A 20,123-nucleotide genomic window follows, 5' to 3' on the forward strand; every position below is an offset into this window, starting at 1 on the left:
TAATAAATGTATTCCCCTTTGGCAGCACTAGGAATAACTGCAGGCTTTTAAAATCCCTCCAAGTAAAATAATTCCAGTACTAACTAACAAAATCTCTTCTCACCTACACATGGATTCAAATTAAATTCAGAGAGATTAAGAAACTTGGCCAGTCGCAGTGGCTCATGCCCGTACTCCCAGCACTTTGGGAGGCTGAGGCAGGTGGATCACTTGAGCTCAGGAGTTCAAGACCAACCCGGCCAACATGGCAAAACCCCGTCTCTACTAAAAAAAAAATACAAAAATTAGCTGAGTGTGGTGGCACATGCCTGTAATCCCAGCTACTTGGGAGGCTGAGGCAGGAGAATCGCTTGAACCCAGGAGGCGGAGGTTGCAGTGAGCCAAGATGGCACTACTGCACTCCAGCCTGGGTAACAGAGTGAGATTCCATCTCAAAAAAAAAAAAAAAAAGAAAGAAAAGAAATTTGCTCAAAGTCCCACAACGATTATAATAAGTAACCAAACCATGCTCTGATGCAAGCAAAGTTAATCTGACTCCTCACTCTGAGTGCCTTCCATCACACCATGCTGCTCCTCTATGATCCAGATATTTGTTCCACCTTCTGCAAATATTCACTCAGTGCCTACCATCCATAGGCATTTTATGGGCATCACCATTCATCTGGTCACCTAAGATAGAAACTTTTGTATTAGCCTAACTCCATCATCTGCTCCATCATGCACATTCAATTGAATGATCAGTTCTATACATTTTATCTTGATGTGTTTCTCCACTTCATCCCCTCCACTTTGTACCCTACACTGTTGGCTTATTCATCTCTCACCTGGAATAACACAGTCTTGTTCTCTGGCCTACTCAATTCCAGCTTATTCCCACTTCTCTTTCCTACCCATGTATCCTTCTTACCATCAAAAAGTAATACTGCAGATCTCCACATGTCTCTCCCTTGCTTAACAAACCTCAGTGGCTCCCCATTTCCTGCACCATAAGGTGCAGTCTCCTTAGCATGGCCCATAAAAACTTGAAAAGCATACAAGCCCATCTTTCTGGTCACTTTACATCCTGGCCACTTACGAACCTGTGAGCTACCCACAACTTATTAGTGCCTGTATCCTTAGCACCCTGTCACTCTTGTGCCTCTGTGCCTTGGTTCATGCTGTTCTTTTAAATTGTGGTGCTCTTCCCCAGCTCCCAGGTCAGATAGATATCTCTTATCTGACACATTCACTGATATCACCGCCACTATTCCTCCTCCATGGGGGAAAGTAACTCTCTCAATCAGAGTGCGCATACTTCTATTCTGGCATATGCACACTCACATTCTACAATAGTGTTTTTATATTTCTATCCCTCACTAGACTGTAGTCTCTTCAGTGGCAGGGGTCACTCTAGGTACCTTAGAATTTGCGGCACATACGCAGCACAGAGCCCAGCATGAGGAGGTGCTAAATGTGTGGCTGAATATTTGAATTAGTAAAGGAAAGAATCTCAGACTTATATCCCACTCAGGGTGCTTTCACTACATCTTGATCACTTCAAGACAGAAAAAAACAACAAAAGCAAACAAGCAAAAAAAAAAAAAGAAAAAAAGCAAGAAAAAAGCTAGCAAAAGCAATCAGAGAGGGAATCCTATATACACCCCACCTTCTTCCTAAACCCCTGTGGCTAGGAAACAATTGCCACACTGGGAACCAGTGGTGTTGAAATCAGCAATAGTGGAAGAATTTACATTATGGAAATTAGCAAATCGTGCAAATAATATTCGGGGGAAGGGAGATTTGTTGTTGTTTCCATTTAAAATTGTACAATTCAGTGGTTTCCTAATATATTCATTAGGTTATGCAACTACCACCATCAAATTTCAGAACATTTTCATCACACCAAAAAGAAACACAGTCATTAGCAGTCACTCCTCATAACTCCCCACCCCAGCCCCTGGCAGTGTTTCTTGTTTTTTGAGAGCTGGTTGTTAAACATTTACAGCACACCACTGCTGGGAATGCAGCTATTTCTATAATAACAGTTACTTTTCTCTTCCTCACTTAATGTTTTGATTCTTCAAGAATCTTGAGGCCTCCTAAACCTCAAAGGTTTGTAACACAAAGATGATTTATCTTTAAAAGAAGTTATTTCAACTCTCACTTAATTCAATTTATCTGTCACAGAATGAGATGAAAAATTGTTATGCATAGAGAGGAAAATCAGAAACTAATAAATCTTTAAAAAGGCTAGATCACTTTCTGCTGGATTAGTATGTGGGATTTACTTTTGCATGAGACAATGGGCTCTTGTCTATTTTTAGCGTAGATAATGCATTTCCTAGGACCCACAGGAGGCCTTGGCTTCTCCTATTACTGAACACACATGCAGAGACCAGAGATTTTGTGAAAGAGAAAAAGAAAAAAGACAAGGGGAAAGGATTGGTGGTTTGCTCTTTTGATCACTAATGCAACTCCATCAGGAAAGATGAAATATAATGCCCAAGAATTTCCTAAAAGAAATTCACTAGAAATGCACAAAAATACACTTGTTTCAAAAGATGTACATACATCCCCATATGCATGTGAAGGCACTTGCACCATGAAGTCATTTGTTAATCTCCTAATGACCCAATGACCCTAGAACAGTTCCCTAGATGTGGGCTCCCAGACACCAGATGCACATTACTCATCTAATTAATGCTGCTGATGAACTTGTTTCAAAATCTTTTATATTTGTAAGCAGGAAAGGTTGGGCTGTCCTCTAAGATAGCATAAACCAAAAATAAAATTCTGAGCCCTGTAACCGTCTGAATGGACCCTTCCTTTTGGCCAAGAGCATTCCAAAGTCAACCTGAAAAACTAGTTCTGTTCATGATGGGAAGAGGGGGTGGGACATGCCTTATTACCATTAACGTCAACACAGACCTTGAGACTGATAGAACAGACTCTAAGTCTGGTAAATATTTACAAGCTATCCTCTCTGAAGCCTGCTACCCTGAAGCTTCATCTGCATGGTAAAACCTTGGTCTTCATAATCCCTTACCTTAACCTAAACATTCTTTTCTATTGATTCCGGGTCTGTAGATAATAACCAATCGCCAATCAGAAAATCTTCGAATGCATCTATGACCTGGAAGCCCCTGACTTCCAGTTGTCCCACCTTTCCTGACCAAGCCAATGTACATCTTACATGTATTGATTGATGTCTTATGTCTCTCTAAAACATATAAAAAACATATAAATGCAAGATGCAGCCTGACCACCTTGGGCACATGTGTCATCAGGACCTCCTGAGGCTGTGTCATAGGCATGTCCTTAACCTTGGCAAAATAAACTTTTAAATTGATCAAGACTTATCAAGACTTATCTTTTGGTTTATGATCAAGACTTTTTGGTTTATGTAGGGACTCCATCTTTTTTTTTTTTTTTTTTTTTTTGAGACGCAGTCTTGCTCTGTTGCCCAGGCTGGAGTGCAGTGGTGTGATTTCGGCTCCCTGCAAGCTCTGCCTCCTGGGTTCACCTCATTCTCCTGCCTCAGCCTCCGGAGTAGCTGGGACTACAGGTGCTCACTACCACGCCTGGCTAATTTTTTTGTATTTTTAGTAGAGCCGGGGTTTCACCATGTTAGCCAGGATGATCTCGATCTCCTGATCTCGTGATCCGCCCGCCTCGGCCTCCCACAGTGCTGGGATTACAGGCGTGAGCCACCGTGCCTGGCCTGTAGGGACTCTATCTTGTTACTCAAATTGTAGTTTGCTGTCCAGCACCATCAGCATTACCTGAGAGCCTGTCAGAAACACAGAGCCTGAGGCCAGGTGCTGTGGCTCATACCTGTAGTCCCAATGCTTTAAGAGGCTAAGGTGGGAAGACTGCTTGAGGACAGAAGTTCAAGACCAGCCTGGGCAACATAGTGAGATCTGTATCTACAAAAAATAAAAATTAGGCTTGGCGCCGTGGCTCACGCTTGTAATCCCAGCACTTTGGGAGACTGAGGCGGGAGGATCACCTGAAGTCAGTGTCACACACGTCTGTGTGAAGAGACCACCAAACAGGCTTTGTGTAAGCAACGAGGCTGTTTATCTCACCTGGGTGCAGGCGGGCTGAGTCCGAAAAGAGAGTCAGGAAAGGCAGATAGGGGTGGGGCAGTTTTATAGGATTTGGGTGGGTAGTGGAAAATTACAGTCAAAGGGGGTTTTTCTCTTGCGGGCAGGGGCGGGGTCACAAGGTGCTCAGTGGGGGAGCTTCTGAGCCAGGAGAAGGAATTTCACAAGGTTAATCACTCAGTTAAGGTGGGGCAGTAACAAATCACAATGATGGAATGTCATCAGTTAAGGCAGGAACCAGCCATTTTCACTTCCTTTGTGTTTCTTTGCTTCCTTCAGTCCATCTGGATGTATAGGTGCAGGCTTGGTCCCAGAGGCCTGACAGTCAGGAGTTGAAAACCAGCCTGGCCAAAATGGAGAAACCCCATCTCTACTAAAAATATAAAATTAGCCAGGCATGGTGGCACATGACTGTAATCCCAGCTACTCAGGAAGCTGAGGCAGGAGAATCGCTTGAACCCGGGAGGTGGAGGTTGTGGTGAGCCAAGATTGCACCATTGCACTCCAGCCTGGGCAACAAGAGCAAGACTCCATCTCAAAAAAATAAATAAATAAAATAAATAAATAAAAATTAGCCAGGCATAGGGGCACACACTTGTAGTCCTAGTTTCTTGGGAGGCTGAGCCAGAAGCATAGCTCAACCCCAGGAGTTGGAGGTTTCAGTGAGCTATGGTTGTGCCACCAGGGCCCTGTAATTGGCGTCTGTTCTCACCTTATTTACTTGAGTTTGTATGGAAAAAGAATTCACTGAGACTTACTTGAAACTCATTCAAAAGATCCCCAAACAGTTGAGATGTGTTGGGAATCCTCACTTTATTTTAAGCAATTTTGATGCTAAATCAAGAGGCTAATTCTCTACCCAGGTTGGAATCCTATTGACTGCAGGAAAGCCAGGGGACCATCTTCAGAGATCATGAAAAGTTTTACTTCCAGTAATGCTTTTCTTTTATAAAAGTGATTCATGGCCAGGTGTGGTGGCTCATGCCTGTAATCCCAACATTTTGGGAGGCCAAGGCAGGTGGATCGCTTGAAGCCAGGAGTTCACCAGCCTAGGCAATGTGGTGAAGCCCTGTCTCTACTAAAAATACAAAAATTAGCTGGGTGCGGTGGTACACACCTGTAGTCCCAACTACTTGGGGGGCTAAGGTGGGAGGATCACTTGAGCCTGAGAGACGGAGATTACAGTGAGCCAAGATCATGTCACTGCACTCCAGGCTGGGTGACAGAGCCCAGAACCTATCTCAAAAAAAAAAAAAAAAAAAAAAAAAAAACATTCATGCTCATTACAGGAAATATGAAGAACCATGGAGAAGAAAATTATTAAAAATCACCTGAATGTCCACCTGATATGTTAAACACTTAATATTTTGGTACTTTTAAATATACATATAATTGCAAGCATTATATGCTCTGTTTCCAATGGAATTCTTTATTTTACATAATTGGGAGCATAAAATAAATAGTTTGCATGACGTTTCATTTTTCATGTATTATGATTATTTTCATGCCCCTGAAAATTCTTCAGGAATATGATTTTAATCACCTTATATTCTTATATGAGTAAGTCACATTTTACTTAAATATTCTTATATTCTTGAATACTTAACCCATATAGAAAACGTTGTGATTAATATTCTTGCATATGAATCTTTTTCTGACTTTCTGATTATTTCTTCCATATAGATTTTCAGGCATCTGTGGTATGAACTTTACAGATTATTGATACATAACGCCAAATGGCTTTCCAGAGAATCTACAGTAAGTCACCTCCCAGCAGGCACCATGCTCTTGCCAGCCTCTCTACCAACGTTTTCAGCTTTCCTGGTTTTTTGTTTTTTTTTTTTGAGATGGAGTTTCGCTGTTGTCGCCCAGGCTGGAGTGCAATGGCGTGATCTCAGCTCACTGCAACCTCCGCCTCCTAGGTTCAAGTGATTCTCTTGCCTTAGCCTCCTGAGTAGCTGGGATTACAGGCGGCCACCAGCACGCCCGGCTAATTTTTATATTTTTAGTAGAGATGGGGTTTCGCCATGTTGGCCAGGCTGGTCTTGAACTTCCGACCTCAGGTTATCCACCCGACTCAGGCCTCCCAAAGTGCTGGAATTCCAGGCATGAGCCACCCACTGGTTTCTTAGGTGATAATCACCACTTCATTGTTTTCATTTGCATTTCTTTGATAACAAGTGTGGTTGAAGACATTTCCATTTGTTTGCTGACATTTTTATTTTGCCAGTGAATCCCGTATCCTATAGTCTGTTGCTATTGGAGTGCTACTGCTATCAATGATGTTCATATATTCACTTTATTAACTCTCTGTCGTTTGCTCTTTCCGCTTGATTGCCATTAGCCATTTAATGTTTTTTAAAGTCACGAGGTTTTATATGTTTGAACTGAATAGAGTCAAAATTATGACTCCTTCTTTGTGATTTCTTCTGTAGTGTTTACAATTAGAAGGATGCATTAAGGAAGGTATAATTAAACTATATATTTTTCCACAAGGCAGAATAACCATGCTGATAGCGAGCAGCCTTATCTCCTTCCTGTCAGGCCTCTGAGCCCAAGCCAAGCCATCACATCCCCTGTGACTTGCACGTATATACGCCCAGATGGCCTGAAGTAACTGAAGAATCACAAAAGAAGTGAATATGCCCTGCCCCACCTTAACTGATGACATTCTGCCACAAAAGAAGTGTAAATGGCCGGTCCTTGCCTTAAGTGATGACATTACCTTGTGAAAGTCCTTTTCCTAGCTCATCCTGGCTCAAAAAGCACCCACACTGAGCACCTTGCAACCCCAACTCCTGCCCGCCAGAGAACAAACCCCCTTTGACTGTAATTTTCCTTTACCTACCCAAATCCTATAAAACAGCCCCACCCCTATCTGCCTTTGCTGACTCTCTTTTCGGACTCAGCCCGCCTGCACCCAGGTGAAATAAACAGCTTTATTGCTCACACAAAGCCTGTTTGGTGGTCTCTTCACACCGACGCGCATGAAATTTGGTGCCGTGACTCGGATCGGGGGACCTCCCTTGGAAGATCAATCCCCCGTCCTCCTGCTTTTTGCTCCGTGAGAAAGATCCACCTACGACCTCAGGTCCTCAGACCGACCAGCCCAAGAAACGTCTCACCAATTTCAAATCCGGTAAGCGGCCTCTTTTTACTCTCTTCTCCAACCTCCCTCACTATCCCTCAACCTCTTTCTTCTTTCAATCTTGGCGCCACACTTCAATCTCTCCCTTCTCTTAATTTCAATTCCTTTCATTTTCTGGTAGAGACAAAGGAGACACATTTTATCCGTGGACCCAAAACTCCGGTGCCGGTCACGGATTGAGAAGGCAGGCTTCCCTTGGTGTTTAATCATTGCAGGGACACCTCTCTGATTATACACCCACGTTTCAAGGGTGTCAGACCACGCAGGGACGCCTGCCTTGGTCCTTCACCCTTAGCGGCAAGTCCCGCTTTTCTGGGGAAGGGGCAAGTACCCCAACCCCTTCTCTCCTTGTCTCTACCCCTTCTCTGCTTTTCTGGGGACAGGGCAAGTACCCCAAGCCCTTCTCTCTTTGTCTCTACCCCTTCTCTGCTTTTCCGGGGACAGGGCAAGTACCCCAAGCCCTTCTCTCCTTGTCTCTACCCCTTCTCTGCTTTTCCGGGGACAGGGCAAGTACCCCAACCCCTTCTTTCCTTGTCTCTACCCCTTCTCTGCTTTTCTGGGAGAGGGGCAAGTACCCCTCAACCCCTTCTCCTTCACTCTTAGCAGCAAGTCCCACTTTTCTAGAGGGGCAAGTACCCCAACCTCATATCTCTGCGCCCCAATCCCTTATTTCCATGCCCCAACCTCGTATCTCTGCGCCCCAATCCCTTATTTCCGTGCCCCGGCCTCTTATTTCTGCGCCCCATCCCTTATTTCCACGCCCCGACCTCTTCTCTGCGCCCCAACCTTTTCCCACTTTTCTGGAAAGTAAAAACCCCCAAACCCCTTCCCTCAGTTTCTCCACTCTCTCTTCTCTAGGCTTGCTTCCTTCACTATGGGAACTTTCCACCCTCCATTCCTCCTCCTACTCCCTTGGCCTGTGTTCTCAAAAACTTAAAACCTCTTCAACTCACACCTGACCTAAAACCTAAATGCCTTATTTTCTTCTGCAATGCCGCTTGACCCCAATGCAAACTCGACAGTAGTTCCAAATAGCCAGAAAATGGCACTTTGAATTTTTCCATCCTGCAAGATCTAAATAATCCTTGTCATAAAATAGACAAACGGTCTGAGGTGCCTGACGTCCAGTCATTCTTTTACACATCAGTCCCTTCCTAGTCTCTGTGCCCAGTGCAACTCGCCCCAAATCTTCCTTCTTTCCCTCCCGCCTGTCCCCTCAGTACCAACCCCAAGCGTCACTGAGTCTTTCTAATCTTCCTTTTCTATAGACCCATCTGACCTCTCCCTTCCTCCCCAGGCTGCTCCTCGCCAGGCCGAGCTAGGTCCCAATACTTCCTCAGCCTCTGCTCCTCCACCCTATAATCTTTTTATCACCTCCCCTCCTCACACCTGGTCCAGCTTACAGTTTCGTTCCGTGACTAGCCCTCCCCCTCCTGCCCAGCAATTTACTCTTAAAAAGGTGGCTGGGGCTAAAGGCATAGTCAAGGTTAATGCACCTTTTTCTTTATCCCAAATCAGATAGCGTTTAGGCTCTTTTTCATCAAATATAAAAACCCAGCCCAGTTCATGGCTCGTTTGGCAGCAACCCTGAGACACTTTACAGCCCTAGACCCTAAAAGGTCAAAAGGCCGTCTTATTCTCAAAATACATTTTATTACCCAATCTGCTCCCGACATTAAATAAAACTCCAAAAATTAAATTCCGGCCCTCAAACCCCACAACAGGATTTAATTAACCTCGCCTTCAAGGTGTACAATAATAGAAAAAAGTTGCAATTCCTTGCCTCCACTGTGAGACAAACCCCAGCCACATCTCCAGCACACAAGAACTTCCAAACGCCTGAACCGCAGCAGCCAGGCGTTCCTCCAGAACCTCCTCCCACAGGAGCTTGCGACACATGCCAGAAATCTGGCCACTGGGCCAAGGAATGCCCACAGCCCCGGATTCCTCCTAAGCCGCGTCCCATCTGTGTGGGACCCCACTGAAAATCGGACTGTTCAACTCACCTGGCAGCCACTCCCAGAGCCCCTGGAACTCTGGCCCAAGGCTCTCTGACTCCTTCCCAGATCTTCTCGGCTTAGCGGCTGAAGACTGACACTGCCCGATCGCCTCAGAAGCCCCCTAGACCATCACGGACGCCGAGCTTCGGGTAACTCTCACAGTGGAAGGTAAGCCCGTCCCCTTCTTAATCAATACGGAGGCTACCCACTCCACATTATCTTCTTTTCAAGGGCCCGTTTCCCTTGCCTCCATAACTGTTGTGGGTATTGACGGCCAGGCTTCTAAACCTCTTAAAACTCCCCAACTCTGCTGCCAACTTGGACAATACTCTTTTAAGCACTCCTTTTTAGTTATCCCCACCTGCCCTGTTCCCTTATTAGGCTGAGACACTTTAACTAAATTATCTGCTTCCCTGACTATTCCTGGACTACAGCTATATCTCATTGCCGCCCTTCTTCCCAATCCAAAGCCTCCTTTGTGTCCTCCTCTTGTATCCCCCACCTTAACCCACAAGTATAAGATACCTCTACTCCCTCCTTGGCGACCGATCATGCACCCCTTACCATCTCATTAAAACCTAATCACCCTTACCCCACTCAACACCAATATCCCATCCCGCAGCACGCTTTAAAAAGATTAAAGCCTGTTATCACTCGCCTGCTACAGCATGGCCTTTTAAAACCTATAAACTCTTCTTACAATTCCCCCATTTTACCTGTCCTAAAACCAGACAAGCCTTATAATTTAGTTCAGGATCTGCACCTTATCAACCAAATTGTTTTGCCTATCCACCCCGTGGTGCCAAACCCATATACTCTCCTATCCTCAATACCTGCCTCTACAACCCATTATTCTGTTCTAGATCTCAGACATGCTTTCTTTACTATTCCTTTGCACCTTTAATCCCAGCCTCTCTTCGCTTTCACTTGGACTGAGCCTGACACCCATCAAGCTCAGCAAATTACCTAGGCTGTACTGCCACAAAGCTTCACAGACAGCCCCCATTACTTCAATCAAGCCCAAATTTCTTCCTCATCTGTTACCTATCTCGGCATAATTCTCATAAAAACACACGTGCTCTCCCTGCCAATCGTGTCCAACTGATCTCTCAAACCCCAGCACCTTCTACAAAACAACAACTCCTTTCCCTCCTAGGCATGGTTAGCACGGTCAGAATTCTTACACAAGAGCCAGGACGACACCCTGTAGCCTTTCTGTCCAAACAACTTGACCTTACTGTTTTAGCCTGGCCCTCATGTCTGTGTGCAGCGACTGCCGCTGCTTTAATACTTTTAGAGGCCGTCAAAATCACAAACTGTGCTCAACTCACTCTCTGCAGTTCTCATAACTTCCAAAATCTATTTTCTTCCTCATACCTGACGCATATGCTTTCTGCTTCCCGGCTCCTTCAGCTATACTCACTCTTTGTTGAGTCTCCCACAATTACCGTTGTTCCCGGCCCAGACTTCAATCCGGCCTCCCACATTATTCCTGATACCACACCTGACCCCCATGACTGTATCTCTCTGATCCACCTGACATTCACGCCATTTCCCCAAATTTCCTTCTTTCCTGTTCCTCACCCTGATCACGCTTGATTTATTGATGGTGGTTCCACCAGGCCTAATCGCCACACACCAGCAAAGGCAGGCTATGCTTATAGTACAAGCCACTAGCCCGCCTCTTAGAACCTCTCATTTCCTTTCCATCGTGGAAATCTATCCTTAAGGAAATAACTTCTCAGTGTTCCATCTGCTATTCTACTACTCCTCAGGGATTATTCAGGCCCCCTCCCTTCCCTACACATCAAGCTCGAGGATTTGCCCCACCCAGGACTGGCAAATTAGCTTTACTCAACATGCCTTGAGTCAGATAACTAAAATACCTCTTAGTCTAGGTAGACACTTTCACTAGATAGGTAGAGGCCTTTCCTACAGGGTCTGAGAAGGCCACCGCAGTCATTTCTTCCATTCTGTCAGACATAATTCCTCAGTTTAGCCTTCCCACCTCAATACAGTCTGATAACAGACGAGCCTTTATTAGTCAAATCAGCCAAGCAGTTTTTCAGGCTCTTAGTATTCAGTGAAACCTTTATGTCCCTTACGGTCCTCCGTCTTCAAGAAAAGTAGAATGGACTAAAGGTCTTTTAAAAACACACCTCACCAAGCTCAGCCACCAACTTAAAAAGGACTGGACAATACTTTTACCACTTTCCCTTCTCAGAATTCAGGCCTGTCCTTAGAATGCTACAGGGTACAGCCCATTTAAGCTCCAGTATAGACGCTCCTTTTTATTAGGCCCCAGCCTCATTCCAGACACCAGACCAACTTAGACTGTGCCCCAAAAAACTTGTCATCCCTACTATCTTCTGTCTAGTCATACTCCTATTCACCGTTCTCAACTACTCGTACATGCCCTGCTCTTGTTTACACTGCCGGTTTACACTGTTTTTCCAAGCCATCACAGCTGATATCTCCTGGTGCTGTCCCCAAACTGCCACTCTTAACTCTTGAAGTAAATAAATAATCTTTGCTGGCAGGACTATGCTGAATCTCCTTAGGCACTCTCTAATCAGATATCCTGAGTCATCCCAATTATTAGACCTTTTATACTTGTTTTTCTCCTTCTGTTATTCCATTTAGTTTCTCAATTCATCCAAAACCATTTCCAGGCCATCACCAATCATTCTATACGACAAATGTTTCTTCTAACATCCCCACAATATCACCCCTTACCACAAGACCTCCCTTCAGCTTAATCTCTCCCACTCTAGGTTCCCACGCCGCCCCTAATCCCGCTTGAAGCAGCCCTGAGAAACGTCGCCCATTCTCTCTCCATACCACCCCCCAAAAATTTTCGCCACCCCAACACTTCAACACTATTTTGTTTTATTTTTCTTATTAATATAAGAAGGCAGGAATGTCAGGCCTCTGAGGCCAAGCCAAGCCATCACATCCCCTATGACTTGCATGTATACGCCCAGATGGCCTGAAGTAACTGAAGAATCACAAAAGAAGTGAATATGCCCTGCCCCACCTTAACTGATGACATTCCACCACAAAAGAAGTGTAAATGGCCGGTCCTTGCCTTAAGTGATGACATTACCTTGTGAAAGTCCTTTTCCTGGCTCATCCTGGCTCAAAAATCACCCCCACTGAGCACCTTGCGACCCCCACTCCTGCCCACTGAGCACCTTGGGACCCCCACTCCTGCCCGCCAGAGAACAAACCCCCTTTGACTGTAATTTTCCTTTACCTACCCAAATCCTATAAAACGGCCCCACCCCTATCTGCCTTCACTGACTCTCTTTTCAGACTCAGCCCGCCTGCACCCAGGTGAAATAAACAGCCATGTTGCTCACACAAAGCCTGTTTGGTGGTCTCTTCACACGGACGTGCATGAAACTTCCTGACTGAGCATGCTATTGGCCTTCACCTGTATCAATTTCAGAATAATTCATTTCTTTTTCATTTTTTATTTCTGTGATGCTTACTCCCTTTTAAGTTTGAACTATTTTAATTAATTGATTAATCATTGTGATGTTTTCTTAATCATGTATTATTTCCTAAAACACACTAAGGAGTCTGTTTGACAGCTGACCTATCCCACCGAGCTCCCAATTCTTGCTGCAGTATCATCTGATTTTAATTATCATAGCCTTACACCTGGCCAACTCCATTTTTAGAAACAACATGCCTTTTTATTATTTTGCTTTCTTACTCTTTGGCTCCTTATGGGGTAAATCAACTTTCTAACCCAAGAGCTGACATTTTCAGCAAAGAAGAAATCATCTTTTGTTATGTTAACGTAGAGCCTTAGATATTAATAGAGGCAGCTTCCTCAAACCATTCCACAAAATGACGTGATAGCTTTACCTTTCCAAAAAATAAACTAGGATGTGCATAACATTTTGGTGTTATGTCTAAAGTTTCATTAAAATGTACCATGCAAAACAATCTAAGTATTTCTTTTTCTTTTTCTTTTTTTTTTTTTTTTGAGACTGAGTTTCGCTCTTGTTACCCAGGCTGGAGTGCAATGGTGCGATCTCAGCTCATTGCAACCTCTGCCTCCCGGATTCAAGCAATTCTCCTGCCTCAGCCTCCGGAGTAGCTGGGATTACAGGCATGTACCACTATGCCCAACTAATTTTGTATTTTTAGTAGAAACAGAGTTTCTCCATGTTGAACAGGCTGGTCTCCAACTCCCAACCTCAAGTGATCTGCCCACCATAGCCTCCCAAAGTGCTGGGATTACAGGTGTGAGCCACTGCGCAAGGCCCAATCTAAGTGTTTCTTGACATATCTGGCTGGCTGAGGATAGCACAGAGCCAGTTTAAACAGCTAAGAAAAAGTCGGTTTATCCTTGTGGCTATATTTGTGGTTGAAATTGTGAAGGCCAAGTGTCCTGTATTTTCTTGAAGGACATTTTTTTCTTTTCCTTTGACTATTCTCTTGTTGATCACTTTTTAAATTTCTCACAACAGTCATTCTTAAGTAAACCACTCAAAGGGTGTAGGGAGTGAAAAGAGCTGCCGTCTGGTTTCTGACAGAAGTGGTTTACCTCTTGCTTCCCTACTTCCCATTAGCATTGGCTTCTTCATCTATAAAGAATCATTTAACAAAATGACATTTGTCTCGTAGAGCTGGTAGAGTAGTTAAATGGGATTATGTATGGAAGGACCTTAGCACAATGCCTGCACAAAATAAAAACTAAATAAATGTAAGGTAGATGCAGTGGCTCATGCCTGTAGTCGTCCCATCTACCTGAGGCTGAGACAGAAGGGTTCATTGAGCCCAGGAGTTCAAGACTGCAGTGCACACTGATGGCACCTGTAAGTAGCCACTGCACTCCAGCCTGAGCAATATAGCAAGAGCCTATCTCTAAAAAAAAAAAAAATGTTTTTTTTGAGACACTGTCTCACTGTGTCACCTAGGCAGGAGTGCAATGGTGTGATCTCAGCTCACTGCAACTTCTGCAACCCCAGCTCAAGATATCCTACCATCTCAGCCTCCCAAGCAGCTGGGACTACAGGCACTTACCAGCACATGCAGCTAATTTTTGTATTTTGTGTACAGCTGGGGTTTCTCCATGTTTCCCAGGCTGGTCTTGAACTCCTGGGTTCAAGCAATCTTCCTGCTTTGGCCCCCAGAAAAATTGTTAATGTTGAAAAAACACTAAATAAATGTAAGCTTACAAAATAGACCTCCTCACCCCAGGCTACCTCAGTCCTTGCAAATGATCTTGCTTGACTCCTACTTTACTGAGATGATGAAGCTCTCAATCTACCCTCTTCTTTATGCTCATCCTTAACCTATCTATCTCATTCCCTCTGTATTCCTATCTCAAGAAAAAACAGGTTGTCTTTCCTGCCAAGGCTATCCCTACATCTTTGATCTCCTTTCTTCTCTCCCTCCTTCCTTCCTTCCCTCCCTCCCTTCTTCCCTTCCTCCTTCCTTCCCTCCCTCCTTCATTCTCTCTTTTCTTCCTTCTTTCCTTCCTTCCCTCCTCCCTTCCTTCTTTTCCTTCCTCCTTCTCTCCCTCCCTTCTCTCTCTGAACCTTGCTCAGTTCTCTTCTCCCTTAGATCAGCAGTTCTCTACATGTGCCCTGTCTCTTCTTTTTATTATAAATAGATTCAGTTCTCTCCTGCCCTATAGAAACAAACCATCTTTTTTTTTTTTTTTTTGAGACGGAGTCTCGCTCTGTCACCCAGGCTGGAGTGGAGTGGCGCGGTCTCGGCTCACTGTAAGCTCTGCCTCCCGGGTTCACGCCATTCTCCTGCCTCAGCCTCCCGAGTAGCTGGGACCACAGACGCCCACCACCACGTCTGGCTAATTTTTTGTATTTTTAGTAGAGACGGGGTTTCACTGTGTTAGCTAGGATGGTCTTGATCTCCTGACCTCGTGATCCGCCCGCCTCGGCCTCCCAAAGTGCTGGGAATACAGGCTTGAGCCACCGCACCCGGCCAAAACAAACCATCTTTAAGCATTATATTTTAGTTATCTATTGCTGCATAATATATTGCTTCAAGACTTAGTGACTTGAAACAACCATAAGTATTTCTCATCTCCCATGGTTTCTATGAGTCTGGCATTGAGTGGCAGCTTGGTTGGGCAGTTCTGGCTTGGGGTCTGTCAAAAGTTGCATTCAGGTCAGCTGAGGCTGCAGTATCTGAAGGGTTAATGGAAATGGAGGATCCACTTCTGAGGTAGCTCACTGCCGAAGCTGGCAAATTTGTGTTGACAAGTGGAGTCCTCTCTGTGTAAGCATCTCCACAGGGCTGCCTGAGTGTTCTCATAACATGGTGGCTAGCATTATCCCACGGTGTGTGATTCATGAAGCCAATGCAGAAGCTATAATTTCTTTACGAACTAGCTTTGGAAGTCACATGCTGTTATTTCCTCTGTATTCTGTTGGTCACACAGAGCAGTCCTGGTACAACATGGCACAACAAAAGTACATGAACACTAAAAGGCAATAACGATTGGGGGCCAACTCAGAGGCTGACTACTCCACCTACTAGCACTCTCTTTGTTCTCCTGTGACTTTGAAAAGGTTGCCCACCATGGCTCCAATTTCTCATCCTCTACTCTCTCAGGCAGAGTTCCTGTTTGCAAGCAATTAAAATTGACTGTAGGTATTCCAAAGAGAAGTTTATTAAAAAGATATTGTTGGAAGTGCTGGAGAACCAGAGTTGCTGAAGTTGAGTCTCCAAAAAGAATGCCCAAAACCAGGCCACAAGACTGGGCAGAAGAACCAAAATTTCCCTTGCTGTGGCCACTGCTACTGCTGTTGCTCAAAAAGCCAAAGTTTCTGCTGCCACTCGCCCAACAAAAATACAGCTAATCCTTGAACAACACAGGTTTGAAATGCACTTATACATGGATTTTTTTTTGCATGGATTTTTTTCAACAAAAGTTACACTGAGTGTGCTTGTGTCTCCTGCTTCCTGTTCCACGTCTTCTGCTTCTGCCACCCCTGAGACAGAAAGACCAGCCCCTCCTCTTCCTCCTCCTTCTCAGCCTGATCAGCATGAGGATGACAAGGATGAAGACCTTTATGATGATCCGCTTCCACTAAGTGAATAGTGTATTAGTTCGTTCTCACACTGCTATAAAGACATACCCGAGACTGATTAATTTATAAAGAAAAGAGGTTTAATTGACTTATAGTTATGCATGGCTGGGGAGGCCTCAGGAAACTTACAGTCATGGCGGAAGGGGAAGAGGCACGTCTTACATGGTGGCAGGCGAGAGAGAGAAGAGGGAACAAGGGAGGAGCTTCCAAACAGTTATAAAACCATCAGATCTCTTGAGAACTCACTCACTATCATGAGAACAGCATGAGGGAAACCACCTGCATGATCCGATCACCTCCCACCTGGTCCCTCCCTCAATAACTGGGGATTACAACTCAAGATGAGATTTGGGTGGGAATACAAAGCCTAGCCATATCAAATAGTAAATATATTTTCTTATTATTATTTTCTTAATGACATTTTCTTTTCTCTAGCATATTTTATTGTAAAAATACAGTATATAATACATATATAAAATATGTGTCAACTGTTTATATAGGCTTCCAGTCAATAGTAGGCTATTACTACTTAAGTTTTGGGGAATAAAAAGTAATACATGGATTTTTGACAGCACAGGGGTCATTGCCCCAGCCCCATGTTGTTCAAGGGTCAACTGTAGTAAAAGATCCCACAAGAAAGTCTCTTTCTCAAGCTGTTGGTTTGTGAACAGGTGGTTAATATGGGTGTATCTGATGAGAAGCTGCATACATCACATTCCTGCATCTCAGCTGCTAGAGAGGCTGAGAATCTCAATTTTCTGAGTTCTGTTTTGGTGAGGCAAGATGCAAAAGGCTAGAAATATCCCAAACATAATAAGAGTTTTCAGAAAGCGTAGGCCACCCAAAAAGAATGACAAACTGTCTGCAATATCCTCTTCCTTCTTAATCCTTGCAATTTGGCTTCTGTCTAAATTCCACTAAAGCCGCTTCTCAGTGGTCTCCAGTGATGTTACATGGGCCTTCCCACCCTTGGATCATTCCTGCACCTAGTGGGGAAATTAACTTGGCCAGCATCTTAGGTCAAGTTCCCCAGAAGTGGACACTGAGTGAATTCATGCCTTTGATTTTTTTTTTTTTTTTTTTTTTTTGAGATGGAGTCTCACTGTGTCGCCCAGGCTGGAGTGCAGTGGTGTGAACTCAGCTCATTGCAACCTCTGCCTCCTGGGTTTAAGTGATTCTCCTGCCTCAGCCTCCCGAGTAGCTGGGATTACAGGCATGCACCACCATGCCCAGCTAATTTTTGTATTTTTAGTAGAGACAGGGTTTTGCCATGTTGGCCAGGGCTGGTCTTGAACCCCTGGCCTCAGGTGATCCACCCGCCTCGGCCTCCAAAAGTCCTGGGATTACAGGTATGAGCCACTGTGCCCACCCATGCCTTTGATTTATTAAGGAAGTTTCTCCAGAGGAGTCAGGTTAGGAGGTGGGGGACATAGGACAGCAGGGTCCTACATAAGGCCCTACATGACTGTGCTCTGTCTCCCCAACTTCATCTCACCACACATTCCCCTTGCTCACAAAGCTCCCTCCACAGCAATCTGCTCCCTGCTGCTGCTACACACCATGCCCTTTCTTGCTTGAGAGCTACTGTCGTTGCTCTTCCCTCCACCTGAAGACATTTCCCCTGGCGTGGGACATGGTCCTCATCATCCTTCGGGCCTCAGTTCCCTTGGCATCCTATCTCAGTGGCCTTTTCACTCCTTCCCCAGGTGGTAGCAATCATATCACTCTGTATATGTCCCTCAAAGCCTCTATGATAATCCAGAATTATTAATGGATTTGTTCAAATGTTATTGTCTCCCTTCCCCAAAGAAAATTGAAAGTTGCCTGAAAAGGATTGCCTAATAAATATGTTGGGAGTCAACAACAATTCTTAGATCTTGGTAGGCATTCCAAAAATAAGTGTTAAAGGAATGAATGGAAGAGTATGCTTTGAAGAAGGAAGATGTTGTTAAACAGGACAACAAAACACAACATTATAAATCAATAGATAATTTAACCTCATAAAAGTTTAAAACTTCTGTATTTTAAAAGATGAGTAAACCTATTGAAAAGTGAAAAAAAAGCCTGTAATCCCAGCACCTTGAGAGGCCGAGGTGGGTGGATCATGAGGTCAGGAGATAGAGACCATCCCGGCCAACATGGTGAAACCCCACCTCTACTAAAAATACAAAAAAATTAGCCAGGTGTGGTGGCGGGTGCCTGTAGTCCCAGCTACTCGGGAGTCTGAGGCAGGAGAATCACTTGAACCTGGGAGGCAGAGGTTGCAGTGAGCTGAGATCACGCCACTGCACTCCAGCCTGGTGACAGAGTGAGACTCCGTCTCAAAACAAAACAAAACAAAACAAAAAGTGAAAAAAAAAATTAAAACACATAAAACAGACCATAGGTTTGTTCAAGAACCCCTACCAAGTTAAGCGACTGATCTCACACAAATAAGAGGATTTCACTTTATTAAAAGTAAAAAGAGGCCCAGAATTCCAATAAAAAGAGAGTAAGATTACTATTAATGATTATGGCTTAATTAGCTCCAAATAAACAATGATGATTTTTAGTGTTCCTACCAAATCTCCATCAAACACTGGAATTATTTCCTTGCCTCTCCTCACTACACCCACCCCAACTTTTCAACCCAATGTATCCCTTGTTAAGTTTAGCTTAAAGCTGCCTCCTTACCTCAAAAGGTTCCTCTGTACATAGTGAACTGTAACCTATCTGAATGTGTAAACAGACTGTAACCTACTATTGTATTAATTGTGGAGTTTCAGCCAATCACAGACAGCCAACTGTACAAACTGTGTTTAAATAAGGCCAAGCTGTAACCAGTCCTGCTGTTCCTGTGCCTCACTTCCTTTTTCTGTCCATAAATTCTCTGACCACTGGGCAGTGCCATAGTCTTTCTGAACCTATTCTGGCTAGGAGGCTGCCCAATTCAAGAATCGTTCTTTGCTCAGCTAAACTCTGTTCAAAATAATTTGTTTAAAGTTTTTCTTTTAACACCCTAAGCTACCTCTGCTCACATAGAAATTTGCATATTCCCCTAAGAGAATATGATCTTAACCACTGGAAATTTAGGGCTTTGGGGAAGGAATGTTGACTTATTTGTCTTCATATCCCAGGGTCAGTGTGATACTTGTCACAAAATAGGTCCTAACACTTGGGATATCTGCACAGTCTCAGTGCAGATACTACTTAGCCCAGGGGCCTGATGGCCAGGCTGATTCTCTCCTTTCCGTTCGGAGTCCTCTGCCGCAAACACGCTCCGCCGGATCATCAGTCAGGCCAAGAAGCATCCGAGCTTGATCACCCTCTTTGTATTTATTGGAGCTTTGTATTTATTGGAGATACTGGAGCAGCACTGTATGTCTTGCGTCTGGCATTGTTCAATCCAAATGTTAGTTGGGACAGAAAGAATAACCCAGAGCCCTGGAACAAGCTGGGTCCCAATGATTAATACAAGTTCTACTCAGTGAATGTGGATTACAGCAAACTGAAGAAAGAAGGTCCATATTTCTAAATGAAATGTTTCACTATGAAGCTGCTTTAGAATGAAGGTCTTCCAGAAGCCATCCTCACAATTTTCCACTTAACCAGGAAATATTTATCCTCTGAATTCATGAAATCATGTTGATGTAATCTATTGGAGATTACACTGATTAATAAATAACTGAAACTTGGCAAGGTGTGGTGGCTTACACCAATAATCCTAGCACTTTGGGAGGCCGGGGCAGGTGAATCACCTGAGGTCAGGAGTTTGAGACGAGCCTGACGCACATGGTGAAACCCTGCCTCTACTAAAAATACAAAAATTAGCTGG

At 44.3% G+C, this 20,123-nt stretch overlaps 1 pseudogene, besides 7 other annotated features; it reads left to right on the forward strand.

Annotated features, from left to right (window-relative positions):
- Window positions 1,437-1,987: an enhancer, noted in NCBI's record as "NANOG-H3K27ac hESC enhancer chr9:90020422-90020972 (GRCh37/hg19 assembly coordinates)". NCBI's record gives its function as "activates a minimal SCP1, AML or CMV promoter by ChIP-STARR-seq in primed H9 embryonic stem cells {active_cell/tissue: H9 hESC(primed)}" and the evidence as "EXISTENCE:reporter gene assay evidence [ECO:0000049][PMID:30033119]".
- Window positions 2,637-19,823, forward strand: LOC112268032 (cytochrome c oxidase subunit NDUFA4-like; annotated as a pseudogene).
- Window positions 5,584-6,239: an enhancer, noted in NCBI's record as "OCT4-NANOG-H3K27ac hESC enhancer chr9:90024569-90025224 (GRCh37/hg19 assembly coordinates)". NCBI's record gives its function as "activates a minimal SCP1, AML or CMV promoter by ChIP-STARR-seq in naive H9 embryonic stem cells {active_cell/tissue: H9 hESC(naive)}" and the evidence as "EXISTENCE:reporter gene assay evidence [ECO:0000049][PMID:30033119]".
- Window positions 5,584-6,893: a biological region, named in NCBI's record as "hESC enhancers GRCh37_chr9:90024569-90025224 and GRCh37_chr9:90025225-90025878". NCBI's record gives its function as "regulatory_interactions: DAPK1".
- Window positions 6,137-6,710: a transcriptional cis regulatory region, noted in NCBI's record as "candidate enhancer chr9.1038 targeted for multiplex CRISPR interference". NCBI's record gives its function as "positively regulates DAPK1 gene expression with high confidence in K562 cells {active_cell/tissue: K562}" and the evidence as "EXISTENCE:mutant phenotype evidence [ECO:0000015][PMID:30612741]".
- Window positions 6,240-6,893: an enhancer, noted in NCBI's record as "OCT4-NANOG-H3K27ac-H3K4me1 hESC enhancer chr9:90025225-90025878 (GRCh37/hg19 assembly coordinates)". NCBI's record gives its function as "activates a minimal SCP1, AML or CMV promoter by ChIP-STARR-seq in naive and primed H9 embryonic stem cells {active_cell/tissue: H9 hESC(naive and primed)}" and the evidence as "EXISTENCE:reporter gene assay evidence [ECO:0000049][PMID:30033119]".
- Window positions 6,894-7,547: an enhancer, noted in NCBI's record as "OCT4-NANOG-H3K27ac-H3K4me1 hESC enhancer chr9:90025879-90026532 (GRCh37/hg19 assembly coordinates)". NCBI's record gives its function as "activates a minimal SCP1, AML or CMV promoter by ChIP-STARR-seq in naive and primed H9 embryonic stem cells {active_cell/tissue: H9 hESC(naive and primed)}" and the evidence as "EXISTENCE:reporter gene assay evidence [ECO:0000049][PMID:30033119]".
- Window positions 12,130-12,783: an enhancer, noted in NCBI's record as "OCT4-NANOG-H3K27ac hESC enhancer chr9:90031115-90031768 (GRCh37/hg19 assembly coordinates)". NCBI's record gives its function as "activates a minimal SCP1, AML or CMV promoter by ChIP-STARR-seq in naive and primed H9 embryonic stem cells {active_cell/tissue: H9 hESC(naive and primed)}" and the evidence as "EXISTENCE:reporter gene assay evidence [ECO:0000049][PMID:30033119]".
- Window positions 19,824-20,123: the final 300 nt, after the last annotated feature.

This window comes from Homo sapiens, chromosome 9, assembly GCF_000001405.40.
Source record: "Homo sapiens chromosome 9, GRCh38.p14 Primary Assembly".
Taxonomy (NCBI): Eukaryota; Metazoa; Chordata; class Mammalia; order Primates; family Hominidae; genus Homo; species Homo sapiens.